This window comes from Homo sapiens, chromosome 9, assembly GCF_000001405.40.
Source record: "Homo sapiens chromosome 9, GRCh38.p14 Primary Assembly".
NCBI lineage: Eukaryota > Metazoa > Chordata > Mammalia > Primates > Hominidae > Homo > Homo sapiens.
This window is the reverse complement of record NC_000009.12, coordinates 129,164,738-129,181,738: the sequence shown is the minus strand read 5'-3', so window position 1 is coordinate 129,181,738 and position 17,001 is coordinate 129,164,738. Positions and strand designations below refer to the sequence as shown.

At 56.0% G+C, this 17,001-nt stretch overlaps 1 protein-coding gene across 1 annotated transcript, besides 13 other annotated features; it reads left to right on the top strand.

Annotated features, from left to right (window-relative positions):
* Positions 1,670 to 2,593: an enhancer, noted in NCBI's record as "OCT4-NANOG-H3K27ac-H3K4me1 hESC enhancer chr9:131941425-131942348 (GRCh37/hg19 assembly coordinates)". NCBI's record gives its function as "activates a minimal SCP1, AML or CMV promoter by ChIP-STARR-seq in primed H9 embryonic stem cells {active_cell/tissue: H9 hESC(primed)}" and the evidence as "EXISTENCE:reporter gene assay evidence [ECO:0000049][PMID:30033119]".
* Positions 2,594 to 3,517: an enhancer, noted in NCBI's record as "OCT4-NANOG-H3K27ac-H3K4me1 hESC enhancer chr9:131940501-131941424 (GRCh37/hg19 assembly coordinates)". NCBI's record gives its function as "activates a minimal SCP1, AML or CMV promoter by ChIP-STARR-seq in primed H9 embryonic stem cells {active_cell/tissue: H9 hESC(primed)}" and the evidence as "EXISTENCE:reporter gene assay evidence [ECO:0000049][PMID:30033119]".
* Positions 2,594 to 3,653: a biological region, named in NCBI's record as "Sharpr-MPRA regulatory region 13939".
* Positions 3,255 to 3,549: an enhancer, noted in NCBI's record as "tiled region #13939; K562 Activating DNase unmatched - State 1:Tss". NCBI's record gives its function as "activates a minimal TATA promoter and a strong SV40 promoter by Sharpr-MPRA in K562 cells {active_cell/tissue: K562}" and the evidence as "EXISTENCE:reporter gene assay evidence [ECO:0000049][PMID:27701403]".
* Positions 3,274 to 3,653: a silencer, noted in NCBI's record as "silent region_20368". NCBI's record gives its function as "represses an Ori minimal core promoter by ATAC-STARR-seq in GM12878 lymphoblastoid cells {active_cell/tissue: GM12878}" and the evidence as "EXISTENCE:reporter gene assay evidence [ECO:0000049][PMID:35858748]".
* Positions 3,478 to 6,187, top strand: IER5L (immediate early response 5 like). The gene has a single exon (NM_203434.3). It carries the CDS (start codon positions 3,687 to 3,689, stop codon positions 4,899 to 4,901), a length of 1,215 nt encoding a protein of 404 aa, NP_982258.2. The 5' UTR covers positions 3,478 to 3,686; the 3' UTR covers positions 4,902 to 6,187.
* Positions 3,884 to 4,223: a silencer, noted in NCBI's record as "silent region_20367". NCBI's record gives its function as "represses an Ori minimal core promoter by ATAC-STARR-seq in GM12878 lymphoblastoid cells {active_cell/tissue: GM12878}" and the evidence as "EXISTENCE:reporter gene assay evidence [ECO:0000049][PMID:35858748]".
* Positions 5,174 to 5,323: a silencer, noted in NCBI's record as "silent region_20366". NCBI's record gives its function as "represses an Ori minimal core promoter by ATAC-STARR-seq in GM12878 lymphoblastoid cells {active_cell/tissue: GM12878}" and the evidence as "EXISTENCE:reporter gene assay evidence [ECO:0000049][PMID:35858748]".
* Positions 5,664 to 5,713: a silencer, noted in NCBI's record as "silent region_20365". NCBI's record gives its function as "represses an Ori minimal core promoter by ATAC-STARR-seq in GM12878 lymphoblastoid cells {active_cell/tissue: GM12878}" and the evidence as "EXISTENCE:reporter gene assay evidence [ECO:0000049][PMID:35858748]".
* Positions 5,913 to 6,634: an enhancer, noted in NCBI's record as "H3K27ac-H3K4me1 hESC enhancer chr9:131937384-131938105 (GRCh37/hg19 assembly coordinates)". NCBI's record gives its function as "activates a minimal SCP1, AML or CMV promoter by ChIP-STARR-seq in naive H9 embryonic stem cells {active_cell/tissue: H9 hESC(naive)}" and the evidence as "EXISTENCE:reporter gene assay evidence [ECO:0000049][PMID:30033119]".
* Positions 5,924 to 5,983: an enhancer, noted in NCBI's record as "active region_29109". NCBI's record gives its function as "activates an Ori minimal core promoter by ATAC-STARR-seq in GM12878 lymphoblastoid cells {active_cell/tissue: GM12878}" and the evidence as "EXISTENCE:reporter gene assay evidence [ECO:0000049][PMID:35858748]".
* Positions 6,287 to 6,386: a silencer, noted in NCBI's record as "silent region_20364". NCBI's record gives its function as "represses an Ori minimal core promoter by ATAC-STARR-seq in GM12878 lymphoblastoid cells {active_cell/tissue: GM12878}" and the evidence as "EXISTENCE:reporter gene assay evidence [ECO:0000049][PMID:35858748]".
* Positions 7,018 to 7,067: a silencer, noted in NCBI's record as "silent region_20363". NCBI's record gives its function as "represses an Ori minimal core promoter by ATAC-STARR-seq in GM12878 lymphoblastoid cells {active_cell/tissue: GM12878}" and the evidence as "EXISTENCE:reporter gene assay evidence [ECO:0000049][PMID:35858748]".
* Positions 13,453 to 14,442: an enhancer, noted in NCBI's record as "H3K27ac-H3K4me1 hESC enhancer chr9:131929576-131930565 (GRCh37/hg19 assembly coordinates)". NCBI's record gives its function as "activates a minimal SCP1, AML or CMV promoter by ChIP-STARR-seq in naive H9 embryonic stem cells {active_cell/tissue: H9 hESC(naive)}" and the evidence as "EXISTENCE:reporter gene assay evidence [ECO:0000049][PMID:30033119]".

Sequence of the window (17,001 nt, the reverse complement as noted above, 5' to 3'; positions counted from 1 at the left end):
AAGGTGAGATCCCCAACCTTTCTCAGGTGTACAGAGAAATAAGGCCAGCCCTTCATCCTTGTCTCGTTTGGGCCTATTCCCCTTCGTGGGGTGCAGATCTGAGGGTACCTTCTCCTGACACGTGGGCACATACATTCTCACACACATGCACACACTGGCTGCCCTGAACCTTTATGCATCCCAGCAGAAGCCTGGCATGCAAACCACCCATTCTATAAACGTTTGTGAATTCCTACTATGTGCCCCCCAAGCCACACCGCTCCCCCGGGCACCAAATAGTGCAGCTGTTCCATTGCCTCCTTCAGCAAGGTTTTCCTGACGACAGCTGTGGTGCCTCCCCTTCCCAGCCCACCTCAAAAAAGACCAAGGGTTTTTATGAAGCTGCACAACTGCTGAGCCCTCCCCATTAGCCCACTTCTCAGTTCTTGAGAAAGAGGAGAGACAGAGTGTGGGCCCCCAACAGACCCAGAGGATGGGGCCACCCAGAAGAGGCTGACCACTTCTCAGCTGGCCCCAGTGAATGAAAGGAACTTCAAAGATCCCCAAACTCACCTTGTGGGGGACTAGGAGGTGCCACGAGGAGCTGCCCATGTGAGGGGCCTGGTCCTTCTGCCCCCAACCTGTAGGTGGAAATCCACCTCCATCCCTGCCCTGTTTCCCCATCTGGGCCCCCAGATTCATGTTCTGGGGTACAGCTCTGAATGAGGGGCTGAGGCTGAGACTGACATTTGCTTCCTTATGGGCCCTGGTCCCACAGCACTTGGCAGTAAAGCGGTGGGGGTCGATCAAACCAAGATCATATTCACCAAGAGCTGGGCCCTGAGAACTGGCCTTGGCTCCACTGACAGCGGAAGCTGATTTGGAGGAACCTCTGGTGAACTCCCACCCTGGAAACAGATGGGTTTGGGCTCAGATCTTGACTCCACCCCTTGCTGGTATGTGACCTCAAGCAAGGTGTGTAAACTCTTAGTTTCCCCCAATAAACACTGGGCCATGACAGAAAGAAGACCCCAAATCAGTGCTGATAATATTTTCTGGAGCTGTGGGCTTGCAGTGTGCCAGACACTGTGGATCCCAGACTTCACTGTTGCATACAGAGTCCTCACAGCTGTAAAGCCGGTAAGAGCTCCCAGATCCCTCTGCATGCTAGTGATGTCTCAAAGGTGAACTTCAAACATAAATAAATAAAGTCTTTTTTTTTTTTTTTTTTTGAGACGGAGTCTCACTCTGTTGCCCAGGTTGGAGTGCAGTGGCGCCATCTGGGCTCACTGCAAGCTCCGCCTCCCGGGTTCACACCATTCTCCTGTCCCAGCCTCCCAAATAGCTGGGACTACAAGCACCCGCCACCACGCCCAGCTAATTTTTTGTGATTTTTAGTAGAGACAGGGTTTCACTGTGTTAGCCAGGAAGCTCTTGATCTCCTGACCTCGTGATCTGTCCGCCTCGGCCTCCCGAAGTGCTGGGATTACAGGCGTGAGCCACCGCGCCCGGCCATAAATAAAGTCTTTGTGTGCCTTTAAGACAGGCACCAGGGAAGTGAAGGGCAGTGTATTTTTACTTCTACGTGTTATCACCTGAGCAAGTTCCACAGCCTGTAGGTCTGTATCACCAATAAAATGTAGGTAGGACATCCTTTATCTGAAGTCCCCTGAAATTTCAATCCTGGCTTCTCTGGGAGGAGGCCTGGAGAGGTGCTATTGGTCACAGGGGCCCAAAGCGTTTGAGATTGTTCGAGGGGGCCAAGGGAAGGACACAGCACCAGCCCTGGGGCCATGTGATCTTGGGCAAGTCTCACGCTGTCAGTGTCCGAGTTTCCTCATCGGAAAAATGAAGTAAACACCCGCTAACTCTGTCTTCACTCTCAACGCCTGGCATGGAGTAGATGCTAAGAAACTTTTGCAGAAATCTTGGAAATTCTTAAGACTAAAGAAAGACCCAGAGACCACAGGGTGGGCTACTGGGTCTCTCCACTCCCACCAAGGGATGAAGTAGGTGCTGAGAACTCAGAAGGAAGCCCCAAAAAGCAGAGACTCAGAAGATCCCCTGAGGAGGCGGTGAAGCAGCAGGACGTCTGGTCATGGGCCTCCCCCCTGAGTCCAGCCCCACAAGGTCCACCTATCTCTGGGAGACTCTGCAGACCTCGTTCATCCTTCAGGGATCCACTCATGGACCCTCCTCAGGCAAACCTCCAGACCATTTCCAAGAGCCTCCAGAGCTGTCTGGGCAGCCCCCACCCCAGGCACCTTTGAAACCCCTGGGAGCAGCAACCAGCCCCCTTCAGGCCTCTTGGTCCAGATAGAGCGCCCCCAGGAATCAGCAATCCTGTCCCTCTCTTCTCCCACTGTCTCAGTCCCCAGCTGGGACCTGAAGGGTTCAGGATAAGAAGGAAAGCTGTGTCAACAGAAGTTAAGTCGGTGAGTCCCCGGGCCTTTGGTATTCACCTCCCGTCTCGAGCGCAGGGTCCTGTCCCAGCTCCTAGCTCCGCCCCCTGGGAACTGTGTGGTTCCCCAAGTCACTCCACTCCTCCGAGCCTCAGGCCCCTCCTCTACAAACGTTAGAGTGAGGCATTGGGGAGTTGCTGGGAAGGGCCTGCCCCATATTAGGCCCATAATAATAGTCCCTATTGTCATTATTATTAGTTAGGCACGAAAGGAAAGGTTACAGAGCTGGTGATTAGGGCACTCAGCGTTTCGGCTCCCAGGACGCTTTTGAGCCTCAGCTGGTCGCGAGGTCCACACACTCCCTGGGTCATGCCTGGCCTCGGAACTCTCTCCATCAGAGAAGGTCAAAATTCACGATGTTTTGGTTTTTCCTGTCAGACAAATGGGGAGGACTTCCCTTCCGCAAGCATTCCCAGAGGCCCCTCGACCAAAAAGTCAAGGAGTCAGGCCCTACATTCTCTGCGGTAGAGGGTACCCCCAAAACCTCGCTCCTTTGATGTTCCCCAGTGTCAAGCCGGCGGCTCCACCAGCCTCCTGTAGAGAGGCCTTGACTCCCGCGGGTCACTCGGGGGGGCGACAGGTGCGCAGGTGGAGGCGCCGCGCCGCTGGGGGAGCGATGAGCGGCGCGCACCTGCCGCAGGTGAGGCCCAGCCGTGCGGAAAGGGGAGGAGCCGTCGCCGCAGCACTCAGGTGAGCCGACCCCCGGCTCCCGGGACCTAAGGCGAGGGCAGCCGCGGGCTTCAACGTGGCCGCTGCCAGGCGACCTATGCTGCAGACTGCGGCCCCGGCGGCTCCGAGTCCCGCGCGGCGCGGCAGCCCCAGGAGAACATTCGAGGCAGCAGCGGCGTTGGAGGCCCGGGGTCCGTTCGGTATTTGAATAGCACAAAGGAACCGCCTTGGTCTGATTGGCCAGCCGAGTAGCCCCGGGGCGGGCTGCGCCTGTCACTCAGGAGACTCTCAGAGCTCCTATTGGCTCTTCTCATGTGGGGCGGGGCCCGGGCACCCGGCTAAATAGCTGGGGCCGGGGCCGGCCGAGACTCATTGCTTTGGCGCCGTCTGGGGAGCGCGAGCCCGCGGGTGGCGCGCGGCGCATGGTGGCGGCTCCTTTCGGAGCGCAGCCGAACCTCTGACCCGGACTCCGTTACCCCTGCCCGGCGCGCCCCGGCGGCCGGCTGGAGGCAGAAACAGCAGAAGCGTTAACAGCAGCAGCGGCGGCGGCTGCTCCGCCGCCGTCTCCGCGGGAGCATGGAGTGCGCCCTGGACGCCCAGAGCCTGATCAGCATCTCCCTGCGCAAGATCCACAGCTCCCGAACCCAGCGCGGCGGCATCAAGCTGCACAAGAACCTCCTGGTGTCCTACGTGCTCCGCAACGCGCGCCAGCTCTACCTGAGCGAGCGCTACGCCGAGCTCTACCGGCGCCAGCAGCAGCAGCAACAGCAGCAGCCGCCCCACCACCAGCACCAGCACCTAGCGTACGCGGCGCCGGGCATGCCGGCCAGCGCGGCCGACTTCGGCCCGCTCCAACTTGGCGGCGGCGGGGACGCGGAGGCGCGCGAGCCGGCCGCCCGGCACCAGCTGCACCAGCTCCACCAGCTCCACCAGCTGCACCTCCAGCAGCAGCTGCACCAGCACCAGCACCCGGCGCCCAGGGGCTGCGCGGCGGCGGCGGCGGCCGGAGCGCCCGCGGGCGGCGCGGGGGCGCTCTCGGAGCTGCCCGGGTGCGCCGCGCTCCAGCCGCCGCACGGCGCGCCCCACCGCGGGCAGCCCTTGGAGCCTCTGCAGCCGGGTCCTGCGCCGCTGCCGCTGCCGCTGCCGCCGCCCGCGCCCGCTGCGCTCTGCCCGCGGGACCCTCGCGCCCCGGCCGCCTGCTCCGCGCCCCCAGGGGCCGCCCCTCCGGCCGCCGCCGCTTCTCCGCCCGCCTCCCCGGCCCCCGCCTCCTCCCCCGGCTTCTACCGGGGCGCATACCCTACCCCTTCGGACTTCGGCTTGCACTGCAGCAGCCAGACCACCGTGCTGGACCTAGACACTCACGTGGTGACCACGGTGGAGAACGGCTACTTGCACCAGGACTGCTGCGCCTCCGCCCACTGCCCCTGCTGTGGCCAGGGCGCTCCGGGACCGGGCCTGGCGTCCGCCGCCGGCTGCAAGCGCAAGTATTACCCTGGCCAGGAGGAGGAGGAAGACGACGAGGAGGATGCGGGCGGGCTGGGGGCCGAGCCCCCCGGGGGCGCCCCGTTCGCCCCCTGCAAGCGCGCCCGCTTCGAGGACTTCTGCCCGGACTCGTCCCCGGACGCGTCCAACATCTCAAACTTGATCTCCATCTTTGGCTCCGGCTTCTCGGGGCTGGTGAGCCGACAGCCGGACTCCTCGGAGCAGCCGCCGCCGCTCAACGGGCAGCTGTGCGCCAAGCAGGCGCTCGCCAGCCTCGGCGCCTGGACTCGAGCCATTGTCGCCTTCTAGGGACCCCCGAGGGCACAGGGACCCGGGGCCCCGCGGGGCTGGGGCCAGACAAAGACTCGGCAAAGGGGCGAGAGGAGGGAACGAGCGGGCGCCGGGCCACTCGGGGCTGAGCTGGGGGCGAGCGGGGGCAGGCGGCTGATGTTTTATAAATTGTAAAATAAAAAAAAAAGAAATCTAAAATCTTGGACTTTATTTTTGCAGAGAGAAAAAGCGCCTATTTAAGTATGCTTTGTGTTTCTCCTACTCCTTTTTTTCTTTTTATTGTAGTGATTGCAGTGGTGTTTAGCGAGGAGCCTACCACGTGAGGGAGGGCTGCTGCCCGGAGGAGGTGCCGGGCAGCCGGGGGCGAGGCAGGGCGCCCTGGCCGCCGGGGCGCGCCGGGGGCGCAGCTCAGGAGGGCGCCGGACCTGGGAAGCCGATTCCAATCAGTTGTCAGACCCGGGAAGCCCGACGTTCCGCTCTCCCGAGTCCCTCTGTGGGGTGAGGAATGGGTCTTGTGAAATTCTGAGCAAAAACAAAGGCAAACTCTATCTCCGAAAGGGACGTTTGGGTCACATTTCCTCTCTGGGGGCGGACTCCAAAGTTCTCAAAATGAGAAGGCAGAAATGAAAACACTTCAACTTTTTTTTTCTTTTCTTCCCGGGGCGGGTGTCTTGAACCCCTCTTCTCCCCGCCCCTCTGGCTCCGTTCTCCTCCCCTCCTCCACCCGTCTCCCGGACTCGGGGGTGGCGCCTGACACCCCGACACTCTCGGACACTGGGTAAGGGGTGGGGGGCGGGCACGGCGGACTACATTTCCCATCATGCCTAGCACTGCGGTCCTCACTAAACAAAAAAGGAAGTCAATTCCTTCACCTGGATCCCCGGCGGCCCCGGGGGAGGGAGGGGCCGGGACCGCCGACTGCGTTGGAGACTTTGCACTAAGTTCCTGGTCAGCTGTGGTGTTTGTGTGTGTGCTTCTAAGTTGCACTGCCTTGGTTCAGCCTTCGGTTGCATTTCATGAAACCAGCATTGTTCGAGCCTGTGAGAACCCCGTCCTGTGTCTTCAGCTCGATAGATTTGTTTAATTTAAAAGCCTTTTGTTGTAAAAAGGTGGGGTTCGTCTGCAGCCCCTCTGGTTCTCTGCCATCAGCACCGTGTGGACTCCAAAACGAGTTGCCAATCCTTCCTTTCTCGGCCCTTTTCCCTCATTACCCTGTATTTTTGTGCATACTGAATTGTATATCACCGGGTAAAACTGTTCAGATTGTTTAAATTTATAATCTTAATAAAAAGTCGATTACAGAAGATGGTGGTGCCTTGTTTTCAGATGTCTGGGGGCGTCAGAGAGGATAGAGAGGTGTGGGGAGAGACCCCGCCCACCCCCATGTAAACCCCAGTTCTCTTCGGCCTGGGCGGGCGGGATCTACCCACATCCGCAAGGTCGGCGGTGGGAGAATGGGGGGTGATGTTGGTGGCTGGGGATGAAGCGGGTGCTGCGCGTCTCTCGGCCGCCCCCGCTCCAGGGGGGTCCTGTCCCCCACGGGAACTGGCCGCCCCGGGGTCTCCAGCGGGAAGCGGAGCCAGCCTCCAGCACATTTCCTGCCCAGGCACAGGCGCAGGGCCTGGTCGGCCTCGAGTCTGAGCTCTCTGTGGCCGGGGAAAGCAGCCGGGGGACGCCGGGGGTTTCAGGGCCACCCGCACTCCCTGCCCCGCGCCTCTGCCCCGCACGTCCGCATGTCTCGGGCTGCAACTTGGGGAAGTTTTTTCCTTTTCTTTTTCCCTTTTTTTTTTTTAAGTTGAGTTTGTTATCACTGCTCGGTGCCACTTGGTGGTGTGCTGGCGGCGTCTCCCTCCCTCCTCGCGCCCCTCCCCTCTCCCTCTCCTTCCCTCCCACCCGCCGCTCTTCCCTCCCCAGTGGATGGAGGGAGGAAGGCTCCCGGCGCGCGCTCCCCTCTGACCACCTACGGAATGACCTCAGAGTGGGAGAATGTGCCAAGGCCCGGGGGAAGCTCGCGTTCTCCCCACTGGAAACAAATCCACATCTGGAGCCGCGGCTTGGGCCCAGGGGCGCGCGGGATAGTTCCAGCTTTGCAAAGAGGGGTTAGGAAAGAAAGAACGAGAAAAAGAAAGCAAAGTGGCAGCCTGCTGGCTGTTTGCTGCCGACTCCCCACAGCTCCTCGCTCTCGCTGGCTCCCTCGCCCCCACACTGCCCTCGCCGGTGCGAGCCTCGCAGCCACCCCGCAGGACGGCTCGCGCCCCCCACCCCAGCCTTCGCGCCTCCCGCGGCGACAGGAGGGGCTGCCGCCAAGAGGCCCCCAAGCCAGACTCTGAGAGGCGGACGCAAGCCTGTCCCCGGGGACTGCTCCGCTCTGGATCCCGGTGTCACGCGAGGCGAAGTTCTCGGGGACACTCTCCAGAATGCGGGGGTCCGCGGAGGTCCGCGTTGGGGGTGGGGAAAAAGGAGGCTCTGGGGGCGTGAGTCGCGGGGAGGAAAGGCACCTTCACCCCCAGGGCTGCTTCATCGGCCTCCCACGGGAAGAGTCTGGAGCTGCCGAGGAGGGGGAACAGTGCGTTTCCTCCCTCCCCATTTTCCCCTGCAAGTCCAAGGAAATCGCGGTTGGCTGCACGGTTTTGCTTCAATCCACGAAGCCAGTTGCCAGAGCTCCCCCTAGCGCCGCTTCGGGCGCGCTGCAGTGGCTGGGGCTGAGAGTGGGCGAGGCTCGGCGGAGGCGGCGGGGCTGTCGGGGGCCGCTTCGCGTCCACCCGGGGAGCTGCGTGGAGTCTGCATCTCGCCCTTGCCTGAGCTGGGTCCCGGGGCCGCGTGCGTCCCCACTCCAGGCCCACGTCGAGGAGGGGCACGTGGTCGGCCCCCTTTGTTGGGAGCTGGGCACTGGAAGGGACCGGCCAAAGGGCTTGGGAATTCCCCACCCGCCCCAGGGATCCCTGTGGTAAAGGAGAGTGGATGGTGGGGTGCGAAATAAGATCTCTGAACTCAGCAGGACCCCAGACGAGGGCTCCCCTCCCCTCTGCCGGGTGATCTGAGCCTAAGCCGCACACTGGAATCTAGCAATGCCAAGGGATGGGATGGGGCGCTCTGGGAGCACCCTAAAGAGAGGTGCCCTTCCCCTTCCCTTATCTTCTCGGGGCCCAAGGACCTGGGCAGCCCCACAAAGGGTTAGTGCCCTGAGTATAATTCCCCTTGACCCAAAACGCAACCCACTGGCAATCTACCCGTCTCACCAAGACATTCCACACAAAACTGTAACAGGCTGCACAGCCTTGATTCTACACTACACCCCACACTGAGGGCCACACCCAGCCACACACTGTCTCCAACACTTGCTCCTAAGCTGCATCTTCACCCCACTCACAATCCCTGGGGCCACTGGCGCAGCAGGAAACATACCAGCCTAGAACATCCAGAGAGACCGATGTTCCCGTGCATAGCACAAGTGAGAGGCTGGGTCCGGGAGGCGGGTGGATGGGGTTGCCTGGCCATGGGGGTCGTCTGAAAGGGGGATGGGGTCAGGCGGGCAGGCAAACCAGGAGTCCATTTCAGCTCCACAGACAAGCCTCTCTCCCTCCAGTAAAAAGACCAGTGGAGCCCCCAGACAGGACTTAGGGGTGCTGCTTAGGGAGGTAGGGGAATTAGAAGAGACTGGGTGCCCGGGGGATGACAAGGGGGAGCTTCCAGAGAGCAGCAGCTCTAGAAGCAAGAGCTCCAGCAAGTCCGTGGTCCTCCTAGGTTAAGCAGCTCCCCCCAACACACTCCCCCAGGCTCCTAGGACACCACGGGTCTGGCTGCCCTTGATACGTGGTGTAGGGCTGAGCCAGGCTCCAAGCTGCGCTCCCAGCAACATGGAGCTGCTGGGATGACAGCCCAGAGCCTCAGAGCTGCAGGCTGCCCTCCAGAGAAGCCAGGGGTGGGGATGCCTCAGGCTCCCAGGAAAGTCACTGTGCAGGGCACTGAGATCTGGGTGCTGGGTGCTGTGTGTGTGTGTGTGTGTGCAGCAAGAAATACAGTGTGTGTGACTGTGTGTCCCTCTGGCACAGGGGATGCACACCAGGAGCTCTCCCTCCAATCAGTGGACAGTATTTATGAAGCTCCCATTTGGTGCTTGGCCTGTGTGAGGCACTAATCTGACCACAGTGAACAATAGCAGCAAATGACGAGAACAGCAAGCCCCTCTCTCTGGATTAGCTCGTTTAATTTTTCCAGCTACCCTCTGAGGTAGAGACTGTAAGCATCCTCATTTCAGAAATGAGAAACCTCGCCCAAGGTCACACAACTGAGAGGTGGCCAGTTTCTACTGTTGGAGCTCACAGTTGAGTGGGTAAGAATTTGTAACATTACATTGCGAGCTGGCAAATGATTCCGAGGTTGTTTAAATAGTCACATTGATAAGTCCCAGCTGAACCGAAACTGGGTTCTGGGATCTCTTCATCCCTGAACTAGCTGGTTGGGAACACACACCTCACCCCCAATACTTCATGCTGCAGTTTCCAGGGACAGGGATGAAGAGACACACAGCACAGTGGTGTCTGTACCCACCTCATCCAAGGCAGAGCCCTGTTTCCTGAAGACTCACTTGTGGTAGGGGACAGCAGCACCACTGGCATCAGCCTGGGCAAAAGGTGGGATTTCTTGGCTCAAGGCAAGAACTGTGCAGTGGGCAGGGGCACAGCTGGCTTCAGGCACAGCAGGATCCAGGCACAGATCTTTTCCAAGATGCTATCTCTCCATCTCCTGTGACTTTATTCTTTGAACTCAAGCTTCCCACTGTAGCCACAGGTGGCAGCTCCTGGCCTCCAATTCTCAAAGCTTTGCCACCCAAGAGGAACTGCCTTCTTCTCTTATTTTCGACTCAGAAAATCCCAGGGAAAACAAAAGCATTGGTCAGGGCGTGGTGGCTCACGCCTGTAATCCCGGCACTTTGGGAGACGGAGGCAGTGGATCACCTGAGGTCAGGAGTTTGAGACCAGACTGGCCAACACGGTGAAACCTCTTCTCTACTAAAATTACAAAAATTAGCCGGGTGTGATGGCATGCACCTGTAATCCCAGCTACTCGGGAGGCTGAGGCTGGAGAATCACTTGACCCCAGGAGACGGAGGTTGCAGTGAGCCAAGATTGTGCCGCTGCACTCTAGCCTGGGCCACAGAGCAACACTCCATTTCAAAAAAAAAAAAAAGAAAGAAAAGAAAATCCCAGGGAAAGGCTGTAATGTCCTAAGTGTACAGCCAGGACATGAGGGGTGGTTAGTAGCTAGCGCCCACTGGAAGCTCACAGAAGCTTCTCAGAAAAGGAGGGTGGTCGGTACCGGCTGGCAGACCCAAGATGTCCTTCAGAGAGAGGGGCTGCAAGCTGAGCTAAGGGAGGTGTCTCCCAGTGGAACTCGGAGCACAGGCATGGCTGCTTCAGAACCTGGGCGACAACGCGGTCAACGCAGCGCTGGAAGGGGAACACCCTCCCTGCTCCTGGCCAGGATGAAGAGGCTCCAGGGCCATCGGGTGCCTCCCAGTTTTGTCACTCAGGAATCATCAGGGGAGGGGAGGCCGAACAAGGGGGCTGGATTTTTCCAGCAGGCTCCGTGGCCAGGGCAGCAACAGGGACCACCCTCAGGGGACTTAGGGCAGGGATAGCTGCAGGGAGACAGAAGCAGAACCTGGCTGGGATCTCACATGTGGCTCCTCAAGGGACTCCCAGATACAACTGCAAAGGCTTCAGGGCAGGCCAAGATGCTAGCCAGCAGGATAGGGCTGGAGTGGCCGCAGGAAACATTAACATGGCCACCGGGATGTCCCCCGCTGGTAGGGCCTAGGGACATCTTGGGTACAGGTGGCCTTAGCTATTCATACGTTTAGAGGAAAAAAGACTGAATACAAGTTCAAAAATGCTGAAATGGTTATTACTAGGTGGGCAATTACAGGAGACCTTTATTTTATCATTCATACATGTCTATATTTTCCAAATTTTCTACAATAAGCATGTATCACCTTTGTATTTACAAGAAAAACGAACAGTACGCCAGAGAAAAATGTGACATGACAGGTGCTACAATCGATGTCCAGTGTTCTATGGAGCAGAGAGGAGGGAGCAGCTAGGTCCAGTCTGGCTGGGGGAAGGCTCAACCCCTGAGAAACACTCCTCTACCTGACAGCCTTGGTCAACGGGAATCCACACTCCTGTCCTCTGGTTTTTTTTTTAAGAGGTGTGAGACAAAACAACAAGCTCAGCTCCAGGACATGGTTGAGGAGCACTGCGGAGGGAGTCTCGTTCCTTCTCCTCTCTCATCTCTGACCGCTGTCTCAGCCCCACCCAGTCCCAGCCATCAATCGCCACTGACTTGCTCAGAGTCACAGGATTACGCGGCAAGGTGGGCAGGAAGAGGCAAACATACTCAGGAAATATTTTCAGAACTTGGGCTGAAACTAAAGAGGAAGAGGCAAAGCTCAGTGGACAGAGCACTGGACCAGGAGTACAGAGACCCAGACACAGGTTCTGGCTCAGCCACAGACTTAAATTGGGCCCTGGGATGAGTCACTTCCCTAAGGGGCCCATATTCCCTCATCTGTAAAGACAGAGTGAGAAGACAGAAGGTTCTAAGCCAGCTCTGATATTCCAAGAGTCAGAAAAGAAACCATTGCTTCCAGCTTTCTGATGATCTGAGGCTTTGTGTCCCATCCGAGTAAGAAAAACACAGGTAGAGGCTGGGCGCGGTGGCTCACACCTGTAATCCCAGCACTTTGGGAGGCCGAGGCAGGTGAATCACAAGGTCAGGGGTTTGAGACCAGCCTGGTCAACATGGTGAAACCCCGTCTCTACTAAAAATACAAAAAATTAGCTGAACGTAGTGGCAGGTGCCTGTAATCCCAGCCACTTGGGAGGCTGAGGCAGGATAATCGCTTGAACCCGGGAGATGGAGGTTGCAGTGAGCCAAGATCTTGCCACTGCATTCCAGCCTGGGTGACAGAGTGAGACTCCGTCTCAGAAAAAAAAAAAAGAAAAGAAAAACACAGGTAGAAGGACCATGGTGATATCCAAAAGAAAAAATGCACATATATATATATATATATATATATTTTTTTTTTTTTTTTTTTTTTTTTGAGACAGAGTTTAGTTCTTGTCACCCAGGCTGGAGTGCAGTGGTGCAATCTCGGCTCACTGCAACCTCCACCTCCCAGGTTTAAGCAATTCTCCTGCCTCAGCCTCCCGAGTAGCTGCGATTACAGGCGTGTGCCACCACGCCTTGTTAATTTTTTTATATTAGTAGAGACGGGGTTTTCACCATGTTGGCTAGGCTGGTCTCAAACTCCTGACCTCACTAGCCTCGGCCTCCCAAAGTGCTGGGATTACAGGCGTGAGCCACTGTGCCACCTATATTTACAGATTGTGTAACTGAACTAGATATAAAGTGGATATCAGTAAATATATTTACTCCAATAAAAAAGAAAAACACAGGTACCAATATCAAATTCCATGTCTACCTGTGAGTGTGGTTATCTGCCTGTTTCATTCATTCAGTAAATGCATTCAGGCAAGGCCCGGTGGCTTACACCTGTAATCCCAGCACTTTGGGAAGCCGAGGCAGGAGGCTAGCTTGAGCCCAGGAGTTCGAGACCAGTCTGGGCAACATGGTGAGACCCTGCATCTACAAAAAATAAATTAGCCAGGCATGGTGGTGCCCGCCTGTAGTCCCAGCTACTTGGGAGGCTGAGGCAAAAGGATGGCTTGAGCCCAGGAGGTCGAGGCTGCAGTGAGCCATGATTGCACCACTGCGCTCCAGCCTTAGTGACAGTGAGACCTTGTCTCAAAAAATAAATATACACACATTCACCCATTCAAATATTTATTGAGTACCTATATATGCCAGGCACTGTGCTAGGCACCAAGGATGCAGCCATGAACAAGACAAACGAAGGGCCCTCCCCTCATAGAGCTTACATTCTAGTGGTGGGGGGAGGTGTGCAGACAATACACAAGGCAACAAACAAGTAGATAAGTGTTTCAGGAAAATAAACACAGTGCTAGAAAAATTGGTAAGGGCCCGTGGCTCATGCCTGTAATCCCAGCACTTTGGGAGGCCGAGGTGAGCTGATCAGTTGAGGCCAGGAGTTTAAGACCGGCCTGGCCAACATGGTGAAACCCCGTCTCTACCAAACATACAAAAATTAGCCTAGCGTGGAGGCGCGTGCCTGTAATCCCAGCTACTCGGAAAGTGAGACAGGAGAATCACTTGCACCTAGGAAGCAGCTGCTGGAGTGAGCCAAGATCACAGCACCATTGCACCCCAGCCTGGATGACAGAACGAGACTCAAAAAAAAAAAGTCTCAAAAAAAAAGAAAGGACTGGTTGGAGGGGGAGGGGGTGGGGGTGGCACCAGTTTAGATATTTTGATCAGAGAAGGTGATATTTCAACTGACACCTGAACAGATCAGCTCTATTAGTATACGACAGGCTATGCTGCAGTAACAAATTAATCCCTGCATCTCAAAGATTTAACACAAGGATTTCTTTCTCTTTTAAGATCTCCAGCAGGTAGAAAGGATTTGTTTCTTGACCATGCAAAGTCTGAGTCAGACTGCCAGGTCTCCTAGGCTGCTGCCCTCCATACGGTGACTCAGCAATTCAGCCTGCGTCTATCTCAACACAAGGCTTCCAGAATCTCCACCGTGGCACAGAATGAGAGCTGGGGAGTCCTGCAAGGGCTCTTCATGGCCTCAGCCTGGAAGTGATTCTCCTCACTCACACTCAGAGCACATTGGCCAGAATGAGTCCCAGGCCCTCATCTAACTGCAAGGGGGCTGGGAAAAGCAGTTTTCTTGGGTAACTGGGAAGGAAAGGCGAGTACACATGGATGAGCGCTAGAAGTCTCTACCATAGCAGCTGGACAAACAACGGTGGAGGAGCATTCCAGGCAGAAGGAACGGAAAAGGTGAAGACTAAACACATGAGGCCAGGCGCGGTGGCCCACGCCTTAATCCCAGCACTTTGGGAGGCCAAGGCGAGCAGATCACCTGAAGTCAGGGTGAGACCAGCCTGGCCAGCATGGCGAAACCCTGTCTCTACTAAAAATACAAAAATTGGCTGGGCATGCTGGTGTGTGCACCTGTAATCCCAGCCACTTGGGGGACTGACAGAGGAGAATCGCTTGAACCCGGGAGGCGGAGGTTGCAGTGAGCCAAGATCACACCATTGCACTCTAGCCAGGGCAAGAAGAACGAAACTCCGGCAAAAAAAAAAAAAAAAAAAAAAGAAGAAGAAAAGAAAGGAGAGAGAGAGAAAAAAAAGAAAATGAATAAATTTAGCATGTTCATAGAACTGGCTGAGAGAGAGGGCAAGTGGGAGAGGCAGGAGATGGGGCCAGAAAGAAAAGCAGGAGGTGCTCAGATTGTATTCTAATCACAGTGGATGAGAGTTCCATCCGGGGCATCAGTCAGAGCTGGATTCCAATCCCAGCTTTGCCCCTGTAGGATCGAGGGAGCAGCCTGACTTTTCTGAGACTCAGTCTCCTCAAAGGAAGCTGGGACCAGTTACAACCTGTGAAGGTCTTCCTGCTCCGTGCCCAATGCACAACACGCAGAACTAGTGGCAACTATGAACGTTATAGGAACTTCCTTCCTCTCCCGGGTCAGGGACGGGAGGGGAGGGTGCCTGAGGGAGGGAGGGGGCGGGGAGTACGCCAGTATAAACACACCCTGAGTCAGCCGCCCCAACCAGTTTTCCTAGTTGTGCGGGGCCAGCTGGGGCTCCAGACCAATCCAGGATCTGCCCCTCTTCCCCCAGAGACTATGCCCCACAAACACACCCATCCAAGGGACCCTCAGCAAAGACGGAACATGGGAGAGCATCCCAAGCTATGTGAGGGTTCCTTGTGGAGCACTCCTCATTGTAAGTTGTTAAATATCAGATGAGTGACTGTGAGACTGTGGACCACCAGGCACAAGGCCAAGCACCGGAGGGATTCCCAGGGCCATCTCTACCCAGGACCACCCCTACCCAGGGTGCCCGTCCAAAGCCCAGGCTGGCAGTTCCAAGCTCAGCCTCCAAAGCCACATAGAGCTCAAGACAAACCATGCTCTGCTGCTTTTTTTTTTCTTTTTTTTTTTTTTGAGACACAGTTTTGCTCTTGTTGCCCAGGATCTCAGCTCACCGAAACCTCCGCCTCCCAGGTTCAAGCAATTCTACTGCCTGAGCCTCCTGAGTCCCGAGTAGCTGGGATTACAGGCATGCGCCACCACACCCGGCTAATTTTGTATTTTTAGTAGAGACGGGGTTTCTGCATGTTGGTCAGGCTGGTCTCAAACTCCCGACCTCAGGTGATCCACCCGCCTCGGCGTCCCAAACTGCTGGGATTACAGGGGTAAGCCACCACGCCTGGCCAGCTCTGCTGCTTTCTAGGTGACAATAAGCTCTTTCCTTCACCTCCCTGAGCCTCCAGTCCCTTGTCTGCAAAATGAAGACATGCATGGGGGCACCTGCCTGTGCAGTAAGGCTGCTACAGCTCAGAGTCTGACATACAGTGAGTGCCCAGTAAATGAGAGCTGCAATATTGGCACTGGTCAGCTCTGCCCAGATAACTTTTCATTGCAAAATGCATGACAGTTTTCCTACTGACTCTCCTGTTGAACAAAATTATGACTTAACAGGCCAGGCGTAGTGGCTCACACCTGTAATCCCAGCACTTTGGGAGGCCGAGGCTGGAGGATCCCTTGAGTCCAGAAGTCTAAGACCAGCTTGCGCAACATAGTGAAACTCCGTCTCAACAAAAAATACAAAAATTACACTTTGGGAGGCCGAGGCGGGCGGATCACAAGGTCAGGGGTTTGAGACCAGACTGGCCAATATAGCGAAACCCCGTGTCTACTAAAAATACAAAAAATGAGATGGGCATGGTGGCAGGCACCCGTAATCCCAGCTACTTGGGAGGCTGATGCAGGAGAATCGCTTGAACATGGGAGGCAGAGGTTGCAGTGAGCTGAGATCATGCCACTGCACTCCAACCCAGGCGACAGTGCAAGACTCCATCTCAAAAAAAAAAAAAATTAGCCAGGCATGTTGGTGCACACCTATAGTCCCAGCTACTAGGGAGGTTGAGGTTGGAGGATCACTTGAGCCTGGTAGATCTAGGCTACAGTGAGCTGTGATTGTGCCTCTGCACTCCAGCCTGGGAGACAGAGCAAAACCCTGTCTCAAAAGAAAAAAAAGTAACATGCATCTTTTCCAGCGGGACCCAATCAAGATCTTTTTACTCTGGAGTTGGGGGAAGAGACAGGAGGAAGTGCCTTAGAAACTTTGTTGGATTTTTTTGTCTTTCCATAGATTAGGACTCATATTTTTTAAAAGATTAGTCCCCAGGAAGGTGTCTGATTATCTTCAGGACCTGGCTGTGCCTGACAGTCAACATTCACTCAGGATAGATGCTTGATGATTGAATGAATGAATGAAGTGATGGATGAATGAATGAATGAATGAATGGACTCCATTCTAGGGAGTGGCTTAAAGAGGAAACAGTAAGATATTGCTCTGCCTATCCTCCTCCAATCAGACCCTTCCCCACTACCTCTGGGCCTCTGACTCCTCCCCCTTCTGCCCCCCAAATCCAGTTATTTCCTGATGTTTCTTTTTCTTTTTTTGGAGACAGAGTCTCACTCTATTGCCCAGGCTGGAGTGCAATGGCACAATCTTGGCTCACCACAACATCCGCCTCCCAGATTCAAGTGATTCTCCTGCCTCAGCCTCCCAAGTAGCTGGGATTACAGGCTTGCGCCACCACACCCAGCTCATTTTTGTATTTTTAGTAGAGACAGGGTTTCGCCATGTTGGCCAGGCTGGTCTTGAACTCCTGACCTCAGGCAATCCGCCCATCTTGGCCTCCCAAAGTGCTGGGATTACAGGTGTGAGCCACCGTGCCCGGCCTTCCTGATGTTTCTTAAACATTCCATGCATCCTTCCTGCTGTCCTCCCAGCTCCCTGGCACCCTCCAGGCCACTACACACACACACACACATACACACACACACACACACACCACAGAGTGGAAATCCAGTACACACACACACACACACACACACACACCCCCAGTGTGGAAGTCCAGTGTCTCCTTTAACACCCACATC

Coding starts and splice junctions, on each gene's coding strand:
- IER5L (NM_203434.3), top strand. CDS start 3,687: ATGGAGTGCGCCCTGGACGCCCAGAGCCTGATCAGCATCTCCCTGCGC.